This window comes from Homo sapiens, chromosome 10 (assembly GCF_000001405.40).
Source record: "Homo sapiens chromosome 10, GRCh38.p14 Primary Assembly".
Taxonomy (NCBI): Eukaryota; Metazoa; Chordata; class Mammalia; order Primates; family Hominidae; genus Homo; species Homo sapiens.
The window spans coordinates 78731460-78746380 of record NC_000010.11 but is presented as its reverse complement, the minus strand read 5'-3'; the positions used below and the strand labels follow the sequence as shown (position 1 = coordinate 78746380).

Genomic DNA, 14921 nt, shown 5'->3' with positions numbered 1-14921 from the left:
ATGGGCAGTGTTTGGGATTGCCATCCCCCTCCATTAGGAACTGCCAATCCCGCAGCTCCACGCTGCCCTGTGAAGCTAGTGTCCTCTCCTGCTGGGGGAAAGCTGGGCTGTTTCACTAATGGGGACCCCAGCCAGCTAGAAGAACAGCAGGGGGCTGCTGCAGGCTGAGCAATTCATTTCTTCCTCTTGGGAGCCTCACAGGCTCTCTAAAGGGTTTGATACAGGAGGGACGAGCTCAGACTCCAAGTTAAAGCAGGCAGGCTGCATTGTTAGGTCTGGGCCAGGGAGTTTATTTGCAAGATGACTTGGAGAATATTCATCCCAGAGGGGATCGAGGCGGGTGCGAGGTGATGGAAAGTTCTGTGGACACAGAGTCAGGCAGAACTGACATAACGGTGAGAATGAAAACACACCTGTACTGGGGGCTGACTGTGTGCCCAGCACACCACTGTATGCTTGGTCTAATTCAACCCTCAAACCACCGCTGGAGGTGAGTACTATTATCTCTGCTTCACAAAGAGGAAACTAACAACGGAAGGTGCATCAATTTGCCAAAGGCACACGCTGGTATGTGATGGATAGAGGGCCTGCCCCACTCTGCCCTGGTTTTAAACCACCACACTGTGGACATGCTCCAAGCCCAGACCTGGTCTGACACTGGCTGGCCGATGTCCCTCAGCTGCATTCCCCAGGCCATGCACTTACTCCTTTGCCCCACAAACATTTACCCAGTGCCTCTGCTGTGCCTCTCACTAATCTTGTTTTACAGATAAAGGACCTGATATTCCGGGACACAAGCTCCCATATGAAGGCGGACAATCATTTACTACCAGGAAATGTGAGCCAGAGGTCCCACACAGCCCAGTTGCTTCTCTGTGAAGAGTGCAGTACCCACCTAATTCCTACCAGGGCTTCTGGGCTATATCTAGAATCTGAGGCAGGAGAGTCAGGGCAGGGCTGGAGGTCCACTTGGGAGGAGGGCAAAGGAGAAAATGCATTGAGAGACAGAGTCCACAGCCCAGAGAGTCAGGACCTGGTTGAGGGACAGACTCAAATGTGCCTTCCTGCATATAGAAGCCTCAAGCTCAGAGGACACCCTTCTGCAGGGGCAGCCAGGGGCCTGCTCTCAGCTCCCAGAGAGGTCCCTGGAGGGCCAGAGTTGAGCATGGAGGGTGACCAGTTTCTGCTCCAACCCCCTTGCAAGTGTCGTTCCTTAGAGCAGTCTCTGACACTGAGGGAGACTGGAAGAAGGGAAAGAAGAGCTGGCCCGGACAGGGGGACCAGGAGAAAAGGAAGGCCCAGAACAGTGGGTGGCGACGCCACAGGGAGCAGTGTGGGACAGCCACCAGGTGGGCTAGGCACCCAGGTCTCCCCTGCAGGACTGGAGGACGCTCTCCCCCAGCTGCTGGGAGTTGTGAGTGGAGAGTCCTCCACGTCAGCTGTCAGCCCTCTTCAGGAATGGACTAAAGAAAGCTACACTGCCAAGGTCACACCCCTCCCTGGGAAAGCCCACATCCAGTGACTGGCCAACTGGGAGGTAGAAAGGCCCAACCCCTTTGCCTGAACTCAGGGCCACTCTGAAGGGCCATCCTGCTTCAGCGCTCCCCACAGGGTCAGCTGCGGTCTCGCTGTGACTACATTGTAGCTGGATTTCTCCTTCAGCTTCTCCCTGCTTTCTTCCCTTTCCCATGGGTGTGGGTCCCGGGAACACCCCTCATTAATGTTCTACACACTGATCTCCGGCTCAGAGTCAACTTGCCAGGGAATCCACCCTGCAACAGTGGCTGACCTCAAACTCATGCTCATTCAATAAATCTGCCTCTAGTTTCCTTTTGGGCCAGATATGTGCAGGGTGCTGGGAACAGACATCCGGATGAGCTGTGTTTCTTGTGCTTTCCTCTGGTTGGGGAGCCTGATGCCGAAAGGTGGTGGGTACTGGCACAGGGATTTGCTCCTGGAGGGCCTGACCAGGGTGTGCCTGCTCTCCCTGAGTGCAATCCCAGTGTCTTAGAAATGGAAAATGGGGAGTGGCCAGCCCTTTTTCTGAGGCTCAACTCCCCAAGTAGTCAGCCCATCTGGCCTTGGGACCTTCAGTGCCACAGAGCTCACGTGGTCCCAAGTAACTCTGCATACGCAAAGTCCATTCTGGTCTTCCTGGAGCTGTCCCACACTGGCATCATTCTCAGAATGGACTCGCAGGAAAAGTCCATTCTGGAGTCAGGGAATTCCTGGCAGGGTGCGGAGGCTCACTCACTGAGAGAAGCCCAGAGCGCATTCAGTAAGGTAAGGAGGCAGCTCCCTGCTACACAAATCTGCAGAGAATGGAGGGTTCCTTTCGGTGGATGTGTTTCCCACTTGAACCTGTTTCCTCTCCAGCCTTGCAAAGTGTTTCTACATCTGGAACACATGCTCTGAGGATGAAGGATACATTTGGAAAATGCTGCAGGACTTCTCAGTGCCTGCATCATTGAAGTGTACGCTGGGAACCTGTGAGACCCGGGCAGAGTATGCAACATCTCCCAAAATTGCTGCACCATGGAACACTTTTTTTTTTTTTTTTTGCAGGACATCTCTCAGGGCCAACGTTTTGGAAATTATATTTTGAAACAAAAATGCTGTTTTCAAAAATTCTCAGAGCTTTCCCTGTTCTTGCTCAAAAAAGAAAGGAATTCTATCCTGGTGGAGGTGTGCAGCGGATATTAAGAGGATACTGGGGAGTGCAGGAGGTGGGGGAAGGAGGGGGAGCTAGGGTGTCCCTTCCTCTCACCTTCCTTAGAGCCGTGACCTTGCAGGGTGCCAGGGGAAGGCGGTACGGGACTGTTTGGTGGGGTGCAGTGAGAAGCCTGGGGAGGCATGGGTGGCATCTGTGTGTCCCTGCCTCTGACAAATGCCATGCCGCAGGCTGACAAAACAAATGTGAGTGTGCACCAGGCTGTCCTTAGTCTCTGCCAGTTCAGATGCTCAGACACCAGGCACTGGCTTCCATCCTCCCTGACATCTGAATTACGGCAAGGCAGGAGGCAGGGCCTGGCCGCTCTGGAGTAGGGGAAATGGCAAACAGATGTCAGAGGCCAAGGGGCAGGATGTGCTGGAAGGTTTGTGGCATCTCAGGCCTGCTTGCAAAACAGCCCTTCCCCCTGGGGAACAAAGAGGGGTGCTGAGGCCACAACAAAGAGACGCTGGTGGCAGAGGGGTTAAGAGCATGGGCTTTGAAGTTCCACAGGCCTGGGCATGAATCCGGGCTCTACCACTTGCTAGCTGTGTGACCTTGGACAAGTTATTTAACCTCATGTGTCAAGGAGGGAACATAATAGTTCTTCGCTCAGAGTGTGGCTTTGGGTGGATTAAATAAGATGATGCATGAAAAGGACTTAGCACACTGCCTGGCGCATAACACTCAACAAATGTTCCTTGTTTATTTTGCTGCTGCTGCTTGGGAAACAATTCCTGAAAGACTAAATGTTTATTTGTTCAGCAAATACAGACTGTGCCCTGCTCTGTGCCAGGTGCAAGGGCACAAACACAGACAGGCCCTGACCCTGGCCTTACGGAGCTGATAGTCAAGGAGTGGTTGTGCCAGGAAGCCACCTTGGCTGCAGAGTGACATCTAGACCCAGAACGCTCTGGGCCTTTCCTAAGATGAGAAGGCTGTGAAAGCAGGGATGGCAAGGAGGAGCACTGAACAACGTCAGGACCTAGCGCCGTCGTCAGCTAGAGACACTGTGTGTCTTCCTGCAAGTCCCCTCTGCCCAACAGACTCTTGCTCAGCCTTCAAGGCCCAGCCCAAATGCCCCTTTCTCTGGGGAGCTTATCCCACATGGCCAGGGCCCTCTTAGCTCTTGGTGCAGGTCTTGGTGGTGGCATTTGCCTAATTCTGGTGGTGTAAATGTCAGTTCTCTCCTTGACTGTGTCTCATTTTGGACTAGAAGGTTCGTGAGGGCAGTAAATGTTTGGGGAGTAGTATAGGGTGCTGTTTAAGGATGAAGGTTCTGGAGTCAGTCACATGTAGGTTGGAATTCCTGGATACAGCAGATTTTGTGAGCTTTGGTGAACTCATCATCAACTCTAAGCTTCAGTCTCTTTATCTATAAAGCTGAGAGAAATATACAGACTCCTGGAACTGTTATGAGGTGTAAAATTGACGCTAGCCAGAAAGGGCTCAGCACAGTGCTTGGCACACAGGGAGCCATGTACCAGCATGGTCTTATTTCCACCTTTGTGTCTATCTAGTCTTACCCCACTACCTAACCATGGTAGGTGCTCTATAATTAGTTATCAGTTGAATCAAGTAAGTTCCCCATTCTAGGATTCAGTCTCCAAATCTGTAAAAAGGAAGGAAATGGCCTCTCCAAGGCAACTTCAGATACATTCTCTGCACCCAAAGGAACTCTCGGACTGTCCAAACCCACCTTTTCAGTTTATAGAGAGGGAAACCGAGGCCTGTGCAATTGTGCAAGAGCAGCGCATGTGAGTGAATGCATCCATAGCCTTCCTGGAGAGGTGGAATGTTATTTTGGTTAGTTCTGCGGTATACAGATTCTCAATAGCCAGTTTCTTTCCCATCTGAACTGTTTTTGTAAAGAGGAAATATCAAGGTGTATGATGTCAATGCAGTTAAGTAATCCAGCCAGCTGTGTAAACATCTGGAAGTAGTAGAGACACAGCCCCAAAGCGAATGCAGGGATCAGCGCTTCCAGACGTCTCTGGGAGGCTTCCAAACTGTAACCTATGAGGAACCAGCTAGGAGAGGCAGTGCTCTGATCAGAAACTGGAGTGGTATTCTCTCCTCTCCAGGTTCTGAGTTCTGGAGAGCTAAGGAAGAGGACAAGAAAACCACTATGCCCAGGGTGTGTGACTTTGGAAAATAGAGGTGAGGTTTAGGAAAATCCTGCTAATAACAGGTTAGCAGCAGATGGAAACAATGTGTCAGAATCACAGGGACCTGCTTCTTCTCACTCTTTTCCTGTGGTGGGGAAGGGATGAATGTGACCATGCCCTGACTCTAGATCCTCAAGGGAAAGGGAGTGGGTTTGAACATCTGGAATCTAGGGCTTCAGACTGGGAATCCCTGAGCTGCTTTCTCCTTAGAAGTGACTTTTCACAAACCACTTAGGTCAGGGGAGAAAGGATCTGCAGGTGCTTCCATCCCAAAGCTCAAGCTGTAGATGAGAGAATGGAAGCCCAGAGTCGGGGAGGCCACAGGGCCAAGGTCACATAGCTGGGCAGGGAAAGATTCAGGGCTAGGAGCCAAGCTGCCAGACTCCAAATCCATGCTGGATTTCTCCATAGCCCAGTGGCTTTCCCTCATTTAAAATTACATATATATAAATATATATATATATATACACACACACATATATAAATATACATATATAAATATATATACAAAATACATAGATAAATATATATAAATATACATATATAAATATATATATAATTACAAAATTAGCATTGTCAGAATGTGAAAGACACAGAAGCACAAAATACATTTGTAATAAAATCTCTAGCTGAAGCTAATCACTGCTTCTTGCACTCCCTGCCCCACCTCATAAAATGCACACATGCATTCACACACATGCACACATTCACACACACAAATACACACACACACACAAATACACACACACACACACACACACACGTGGTATCCAGCTCCTTTGGTAGACTTTTTCTCCTTTCTTCTCCACAATCCCTTTACAGGTGTGGTCTGTTGTTTCCTGGAACCAGAGATTGTAGTTTGCAAGTAGAGAGCACAGGGTGGAAGGAGACCTGGCTTTGCTTTATCCCTCACCAGCTGTGGGGTCTTCTCTGAGCCTCACTTTCCTCATCTGCAAAATGGATTATAATGTATACCTTAGAGTAAATCAAATTAGATCAAATATGTGGAAATGCTTTATAAAATCCAAAGCACATTTTTCCACATTGATGATGGTGGAGGCTGGTGCTTGGGTAGGGGGCTGGTTTGTTGGTTTCTGCCTCAGGCCAGTTGGATCTCACTCTCTGACTCCTTTCCAGGGCAGCATCCTTCTTGCTCCCACACATCCATTCCCAGCTCTTTGGCTAGTCCCTCCCCCATCTCCTCACCAGCCCCTGACCCCAACAACTACAGCCCCAAAGAAGAGACCCCTGGTCTAGAACCCTGCATGGACAGACTGGCTGGGGGGTATCAGGTGGGCACTGGGGGTGGGCATGGGGACAGGATGGCCCTGCACAGAGGACTGGCAGCTCACCTACCTCAGGCGTCCTGTGCCCTTCCTTGCCCTGACCCCAAAACTGCCATGCTCATTTCACAGATTCATGAACCCAAACATTTCAGGGTTACAGACTGTCCAGCCTCTGTGCTGGCAATTTCTCCTGCAGCCTCTCAGCCTCCTTGCCCTGAGTCGGAGAGGTTTTCATACCTATTTTACAGAGGCGGAAACTGAAGATTCTGGCACTCCAGGTGATTCCCTCTTACAGAAATATTTGCATTTGAAAGGGCTCTTGAGAACCCAAGGTTGCTGATAGTGGAGATTTGGCTGCTGTGTTTGTGCTGCTGCTGGTACAGTGGGCTGTGGGGATCTGCAAGGTCCCATCCTCCTCAATCCAGTTGCAGGCATGTGGGAATTAGCACTGACCTTTATTGCCATCTGCCTCTGCTCCTCACCTGCCCTGTCAGGACAGAGATGGATGTCATCCCATCATTCCCCTGGCTACTGGCAGAGAGGCTAGGGACAGAGGCTGGTGCTGGCTCACACCAGCTGACCACAAAGCTGGCCATGCACATGATTCCACAGGTGTCCATCTCTGGGTATCACCAGTCCCGAGCCCCAGGCAGGAAAGCTGGGGAAACACCTGAGACCAGGGAGGAGCAGGTGCTGACTATATCTCATTATTCATGTCAGCTGAGTTTCAAATTTAGGAGATGGCGGTCAATGAGTGTGGGCCTTGCTGGGAGAGGGGTTCTTCCTCCCAAGTCCACTTGTCTTACTGACAGCCTCCTCCTTAAATGTTAGACAGACAGAGCCTAGTTTCAGCTTCATGCCTGGTGAGTTTGGATAGATATCTTAACTCTCTCACCTCAATCATCTGCAAAATGGGCACAAGAATAAGCCCTACTTGGCCTCCCTATTGGTAACAAATGAAAGACTGTTCAAAACTCTAAGTGTACAGTGGTTTTCCTGCCAGACAAAGAGAACATGGCCACTGGCCAAAATGGTAGGGGACCAGTGGCCAAGGGAGAAGAAGAAAGCAGCAGTGAGACTGCCCTGCGATGGCTCTCTTGGCATTACCCCAGGGAAACGCAGAGTCAGTGCCATCAACGAGCCAGGTCCAGACCCTGGTCCCATCTCCCCATTCCTTTGAGAGCATTGCAGCCACCACTTCATGTTCTCTGCATGCCTTCTCCAGCTACAGGCCTTGGCTCAGTGGCTTGTGGGGCTTCCTGCCACGGCTCCATAGGCTGCATCAGCTTTAGGTATGAGGTAAGAGAGAATTAGCGTCTCTTTGTGACTTTTTCACAATGTCTTTATTCCACTGTGGAGGTGCCTTTGAACTTGGCTGGTGTGCATGGCCCATCGACTCACCCTTTCTATCAGCTTTAAAACTCTCCAGTGGGCACGTGGTTGCCCAGGGAGGAATGCTCTGGCCCAGGACTTCTCTGTCTGAAGGCAGGTGGTTCTGAACATCCAGCTCCAGAATGCCAGTGGAATCCCAGCTGGGTCCCTTTAATGGGTCTTGTCAAGCTGACTCTCCTCTGGCAATGATAAGGGGGCCCCCACAGCTGGGGACAGCAGCCCGGAGACAGCCAAGGGCTCCTATCTTCTGTTCTCATAGGCAATCATGGGAGTTCAGCACCTTTTATCAGGCAGATGTAATCTTCTCAAATAGCTGCCAAGTCCTCCTCTTCCTGGAGTTCCCTAAGATAACTGTTTCCCCAGGAGGTGAAGGGGCATTTCCTTCACCAGGAAGAGATTCCATGTGTGCGCAGGTTTGCACAAAGTCATTCACTTCTAGAGGCAAAGGTTGCAGATTGCCTTCCACAACATGCATCCTCCTTCTCCTCCTTAATAACAACATGTATGTAGGGCAGCAATGGCCACGATAAAAGGACTATTACTCTCAGCTTCTTTGGGGACCAGAAGGGGAATAAGTGACTAGGTTCTGGCCAATGAGATATAAGCAGAAGTTGAGTGATAACTTTGGGAAGTCTTTTTAAAATGGATGGTGAAGACCTTACTCCTTACTTTTCTAACTTTTCTACTTTTTACTACCTGGAATGGAGATGTGATGACTGGAGCTCCAGCACCTGTTTTAGGTCTTGAGGTGACCTACATAATAGGAGCCATGTGCTGAAATGATTGGGCAGTGAAATTATAGAATTAGTCCCAGAGCCTATGGAAACACTATGCCAATCCTGGGCTGCATGTCTATGGACCTCTTTGCAAAAGAGCAAATAAACTGCCATCTTATTTAAGCCACGATTATGGGTTTTCTGTCATATACTGCTAAATCGAATCCTAGCAGATATTCTTTGATTCTGAAGTTTGGCAACACCATGTTGGTTTGTTCATTCATTGAAGGACTGGTTTTTTTTTCAGCCATGCTGCAGCAAACACTCTGTGTACTAGGCAGTGTGCTGGGTGTCGAGGGCCTAACGACGAATGACACTCAGACTGCGCCACCTAAGAGCTCCCAGTCCAGGTTAAGAGTGAGATGTGATCCTTCTGCTCAGTGGCCTTCAGAGGCTCCCCTTTGCCTTGGGCTTGGTGCAACGTAAGGCTGACTGCCCCTTTTCCCCCACTCTCCCTCCTCTCCATGATGGACTCCTTGGTGGTTGGGGGTGCAGCCCAGGAGTGACAGCAAGGGCTGCAGAGTCAGTAGCTTCTGGGCTGAGATCTGCCTTTCACTAGCTGTGTGGCCCTGACACATTCCTCAAAAGTGCTAAACTGTTTCCTCATCTGTAAAGCAGAGATAACAGTTCTCTTCTCACAAGACTGTTCAGAGGATTCAGTGAAACAATGGTTCATGGCATGTATTACAGTGCCTGGCATGTAATCAATACTTTTTCTCAATAATACGTGATATTACTGTTATCACCCTATTGAACTCACCGTTCCACTCAGTGATGATGACTGTGTATGAAGCAGCTGCCTTGTGCCACACCATATGTCCTCCCATATGTCCACTCCTGCCACTCTCTCCCTGGGCAGGCCCATCTCCCCTGCTTGCCTCATGGCTAGGCTCTTGGAGCCGGAAGCCCAGCTGCCCTGGAGGATCTTCCCAGTGCACTCAGAAGACTGAGGTCAGTGCCCCTCTTGGCAAGCCCATTCTTCTTCCTTGAAATGCCTCCACCTCATGGATGTTGCTTTCTATGGGCTGGGGTGGGGGTCCATGGAAGTCAAGACAGTGCCCTTGTTTGACTCTGTCTCCCCAGTAGTATCTGGTGCTTAGTAAATACTTGCTGATTGGATGGATGGATGGATGGATAAATGGGTGGTTAGATAAATTGAAGAGCTGTCCACAAACAGTGAGGCAAGTGCTGGAATAAATGAATGTACAAAATGCCATCAGAGGAAGTGGGAGTTCTAACTAGTTCAAGCAAGGGAGAAGGGGAGGGAGAGGACATTTGTGCTGAATGTTGATGGGTGGGTGTGAATTTCCAGGGTTGGCAATTACCTGCAAAGCGTCCTACCATGAGTGGGATGATCTGTTTTGTTTTACTTACACCAAGAGCTGGATACTTTCATAGATCTTGCATGTTAAAGCCTCCTTCCATGAGGTGAGGAGGAGAAGGGGGTCCCAGTGTCCCTGCTTGAGAGTCTAAGCAATAGTTCTGGCACATGCAGGGCCTTTACCTTTAGATAAACAGTCATGAAACTTCATCATGAAGGGGATGAAGGCTGGTCTCAGCGGCATTGAGGAGGAGGGAAAAAATGCGAAAATGCCACCATATCCTAGTGTTACAAACGCTGACCTCCAAGCCTCTCCCAATGACCAGGTGAACACAGTAGCTTACTCTTCCACTTCAGGTGTGCAAGCTAGGGCTGGGAGTGGTTGAGCCATTTCTCCTGGTTGGTGATGGAGCAGCATCTGGAACCTCAGAAAAGGAAAGGCTGTTGGGAACAAAGAGCTTAGGCAAGGAGACCTCAGTGAGACCTCCTACTTCCCTCACCTTGGAAGTCAAATTTTGGTGCTAATATGTACTCAGCTGTGCATAGGGAGAAAGTTGGCAGGCTCCGTGGGGGCAGACCCTGGCTCAAGCTGCCCACTATATCAGAGGCTGTTATTTGTCTCCTAATACTGTTTCTCCTTTGTTTCCTTGCTAATACAACCCTAATTGTTATCTGCCCGCCCAAATGAAAGATCACATTTCACAGCTTCCTTTGATGCTTGACTAAGTTCTTGTCAACGACATGCAAATGGAAGTGACCACCTCTAGTACCTTCTTTAAAAGACACTGGACTCATACCCTTTGCTCCCTCTTCAGCTCTCCTTCCCTCCTGCAACCTGGTATTCAGGCATGATGGCTGGTGCTGTAGCAGCCATATGGGACCGTGGGACCTTGAGGTTGTCTTAGGAGTAGCGGCCATGCATGGTGAAATGAAAAGATTGAAAGAGCCTTGATGGAAGGAAACCCCCTGTAAGATCTCCAGACTTCCTATATTCCAGCTGTAATACAAGAAAGAAATAAACTATCTATGAAGGGGCCATTAGTTACATGTCTGATACTTGGCTAATCAGCACACTGCCATCGCTACAGGAGGAGAGATGGCCACAGGAGAGGCACACGCAAGTTCAGGCCAGACCCGAGGATGCAGAAAACAGGATGCTTGAGAAAGAAGTGACCAATCCCAAGGGGCCACAGCCTCTTTCAGCCTGCAGCAAGAGGTACAAGAGAGAGGCCAGGTAGAGATGTGGCTTTTTTTATCATGGTGAGCCTGCTCACCTGGACCACACCCAAGTCAGCATCTTGGATGTGCACCAGTCTTATTTGCAGGTCCACCCTGAGCAAGTTGTGGGAGAAGGGCAAAGATGGGCTTAGCATGGAAAGGAGCAGAGCCAGTATAAGAGGAGCTTAACTCTAGGCTGACTCCCAACAGGTCTCACAGAGGTTCCTGAGTAGACAAGCTTTCCGTTAGCATGAACCTCGAGGCCTGGGGAGCCCTATGGCTAGACCACTGGACCACAGGGATTACAGGAACCAGTGTCAATGTAGTAACAAAAAGTAGCCTGTGTGGTCTGACTTGGAGCCATTTCTGGGAATGCATGGAAGTCTGAGAGATGATGTCGCTATGGTGGGATGTTCAGGATATTTGGGTGGCTTATGGGCAATGAAGACAGGCCATAGGATCATGGATTTGTTGATAAGAACTGGGGCTCTGGGACTGTGAATATGAGGGCCAGCGAGTGCTGGCCCCGTGGCTGCCAGGACCACCCCCCCACCCTGCTGCCGTGGAGGTGAGTGGTGCAGGTGGCTGGGGCAGGGGTTTGCAGGCTCATCTCAGAGTCCGGTCACACCAGGAACAGCCACAGAGTGGGGTGCAGGTACTCACTCCCAAGATGGGTTCTCCAGGAACCCATCATATTTTCCCCCCTATGTAATAAGAATTAGCAGAAGAAAAATTTCAGGGCACTTGCAGGAGAAATGGCAGGGCTCATGCAGCTTCCTTGTCAGCTGAGGGCATGACCTTAACCCCACTGACCCCTTTTCACTTTGCCTGGTCTAATACTCTACAGTACCCACCCCAGGCTCTGGTTGGTTGTCTTTGCCTTGCTGTAAATGTCAAAAATGTCAGCTTCACAAAAAGTCAATTGGAGGTTTTTTTGTTCCTCGAGCTGGAAGTCTGCACTGGGATCTAGCCTTCTGGCTCTGGGTTTTCTATTTCTGAAGGCCCCATGGTGGAATTTCCACTCAAGTTCTGTTTCCAAAAATTCAAAATGTCCTGTTCCACTCAATGTTTTGGTGTCCCAGACCTCTCTCCCACCTGCCACCTACACAGTACCAGCATAGAAATCTTGCGTTCATTAACCCACCCCTCGTGTTGGTTCATTAAGAGAGGTTAACTCATTAACAGAGGACGTACCCTGCCGTGACCACCACCAGTATTGTGAAAGCATCAAGTCCCACAATGTGGGGTGCCATCTCCTCTGGCCAGTAAGCTACCTCCTGCCTCCTCCTCTTCTCTTTCCCCTGGTCTGTAGCTTTCATCATCACCCAGTTCTCAGCCAGTGGAAGAGGAGATAGACAGGAAGGGGAGCTTGGGTGCCAATGCATTCCCCAGAGCAGGGTTTGTCAGCCTCAGCATGATTGGCATTGGGGGCTGGATAATTCTTGGCCATGGGGGCTGTCCTGTGCATGGTAAGATGTTGAGCAGCATCCCTGGCCTCTACCCACTAGATGCCAGCAGCACTCTCCTCCCCTAGTTGTGACCAAAAATGTCTCCAGAGTTTGTTAACCATTCCCTGAAGGCAAAATTGCCCTGAGTGGAGGAGCTCTTACCCAGGAAAGGAGCACAGAGTGAGAGGAGAGAGGCACAAAACTCTCTGTCCCTCTGTGGCTGAGTGAGACAGTGCAGTTGCAGGGCTGAGAGCAGCCTATCTCCACCACTTATTAGCAGCGTGTCTACAAGCAGGTGATCTCATCTACCTGTGCCTCAGTTTCCTCATCTAGATATGAGGAAGACACTAGTAGCCCCTTAGCTAGCTTCCATGAGGATTGTAGTACTTTAAATGGTGCATGGCGCTTAGTTAGTGCTGTATAAGGCAGACACAGATGCATGTCTTGTATGGGGAGGCTGTGACTTTTTATGATTATTTCCATGGTTCCCCTTTGCTTCCACAATAATATCCACGGCGTGCACTCAAGGTCCTCAAGACCTAGTCATGCCCTTTTCTCCAGTGTTACCTCTCACCACGGCCCCCCACACCTGGGTGAACCGTGCACAGGTCACAGGAGACACAGTGTTGTCTGTCACAGCTATGGCTTTGCTCTTGGTGTCTGACCCTTGGCTGGGATTGGGAAGCCCTGGGCATCCTCCTTCTTCACTTAGCCCACCCCTACACAGGCTTCAGGAGTCACTTCCTCCAGGAATTCTTCCTGACAACCTTAAGATGGGGTTAATTGCCTGTCTTAGCTTGTTCCACTTTCCCCTTCCCACCCCAGCCCCACAACTAGATCCTAGGTCAATGGCTTTCATGCAGGTATTTTATTTTGGGAAGTGATCCCACGGTGGGCAGACTGAAAAAAGTGAAACAGAAAGAAGAGGAGAAGAAGCCAGTCCAAGAATGTATTGTCCAACCAGTTACAGCTGCGAGCAACTGGGGACGCTCTGAAGAACCTTCTGGAATGTGCCTGAGAATTTTTACATCCTAGATAACAAACATGGGAACATTTCTCCAGCTGTTCCTTCAGGCCCCTTCATTGGCCCATGGCTGCCAAGGGGATGGCTTTTTTTTTTTTTTTTTGTTAGATAAGAGTCTTGCTTTGTTGCCCAGGCTGGAGTGCAGTGGTGTGATCTCGGCTCACTGCAACCTCTGCCTCCCGGGTTCAAGCGATTCTCCTGCCTCAGCCTCCCAAGTAGCTGGGATTACAGGTGCCCTCCCCCACTCCCAGCTAATTTTTGTATTTTTAGTAGAGACGGCGTTTCACCATGTTGGTCAGGCTGGTCTCGAACTCCTGACCTCAGGTGTTCCACCCACCCCAGCCTCCCAAAATGTTGGGATTACAGGCGTGAGCCACTGCAACTGGCTGCCCGGGGATGTTGACCTTTCAGATGTGCCAGCATGGCTGAGTGGGCTCCTTTGGGGGCTCCATCCACCCGGTGGTGGCAGAGAGGCTCTGGGACAGGGAGCAGAACATGGTGCAGCTGGGCTTCGGTGCTGTCAGGCCACATCCATGGGCAACTGATGATTGCAGCAATGACTGGAGCACACCATGGGCTAGGGAGATGCGGAGTGAGGCATGGAAATGTTTGCTACATTGCACCTCTTCAGTCCCCTCTGTTGCCCACTCCTCCCTACCCCTCCCTTCACTCGCCACCCTGTACTGCAATTCCCAAGTTAGCCTTGCCCCAAGACTAACTCCTTTTGAGCAGAATCTGTTATTCTTTGCTATGTACCCTGGCCCCATGCAGGGGCTGAAAGCGGCTAGGTTTAAATAAATGCCATAATTGAATGAACAAATGAATGAATGAATGAGGCAGAGGTAGGCTTGGAATCTAGTGCTTTCAAAACTTTTGGACTATGATAAGGCCAGTTTATCATATGCAGGAACCCTGTCCCATTATCTGAAAATGAGCCAGGTCTGGAGGTGGGGTTTACTGAGTGGAATGATATGAATATCTAGGGGGCTGGTTTGTGGAGTATGGCCACTGCTCAGGGCTGCAAATGGCCTTTGCAAAGAATGACCTCAGTGAGGACTCGAAATGGTTACAGCAAGCCACCACAGCTTTAGCCCTGTCTTCCTGCAGAGCCACAGGTTCTGGAAATGGGTTAAGCAGCTGGAGTCCTTGGCAAGATGCAGAGGTGTCTGGCTGCAGAGTGATAGCTGAGACCTAAGACCCAAGAAGACACTGCAATGCCCAAGGCAGGGTCAGGGACACCGTCTCTTAAGACTCAGAACTTTATGGGGAGCAGAAGCCGTCACTGACTACTTCTCCAAGGAGAATGTTTTACAGGGATCTTAGGGTCTGCTTGAGCCCCATGGAGCCAGAGTTTGGGCCCCAGGATCCTGACTCCTAGCCCAGCATTCTTGTCTCCTGTGTGTACTGTGGAGCCATACTGTTTCTTAAAGAGCTCTTGCATATTGTTTTAGTTTGGATTCTTCAAATGGTGGATGCTGGCACAAAGATTTGAGTGTCAGTGGTTTATTTAGGAAGTGATCTTGAGAAGCAGGGAAGTACATTACGAAAGGAGAAAGCCAATATCAGGGCACTCAAATG

General features: G+C 50.1%; 1 long non-coding RNA gene across 1 annotated transcript in view, besides 2 other annotated features; it reads left to right on the top strand.

Annotated features, from left to right (window-relative positions):
• Nucleotides 1-1837: 1837 nt before the first annotated feature.
• Nucleotides 1838-14921, top strand: part of LOC105378379 (uncharacterized) — a 112024-nt gene continuing 98940 nt past the window's right edge. The window contains exon 1 of the long non-coding RNA XR_946100.2: nucleotides 1838-2283. This is a non-coding gene — a long non-coding RNA (uncharacterized LOC105378379). The remainder of the gene's footprint in view (nucleotides 2284-14921) is intronic.
• Nucleotides 13318-13817: an enhancer, noted in NCBI's record as "H3K4me1 hESC enhancer chr10:80492321-80492820 (GRCh37/hg19 assembly coordinates)". NCBI's record gives its function as "activates a minimal SCP1, AML or CMV promoter by ChIP-STARR-seq in primed H9 embryonic stem cells {active_cell/tissue: H9 hESC(primed)}" and the evidence as "EXISTENCE:reporter gene assay evidence [ECO:0000049][PMID:30033119]".
• Nucleotides 13818-14319: an enhancer, noted in NCBI's record as "H3K4me1 hESC enhancer chr10:80491819-80492320 (GRCh37/hg19 assembly coordinates)". NCBI's record gives its function as "activates a minimal SCP1, AML or CMV promoter by ChIP-STARR-seq in primed H9 embryonic stem cells {active_cell/tissue: H9 hESC(primed)}" and the evidence as "EXISTENCE:reporter gene assay evidence [ECO:0000049][PMID:30033119]".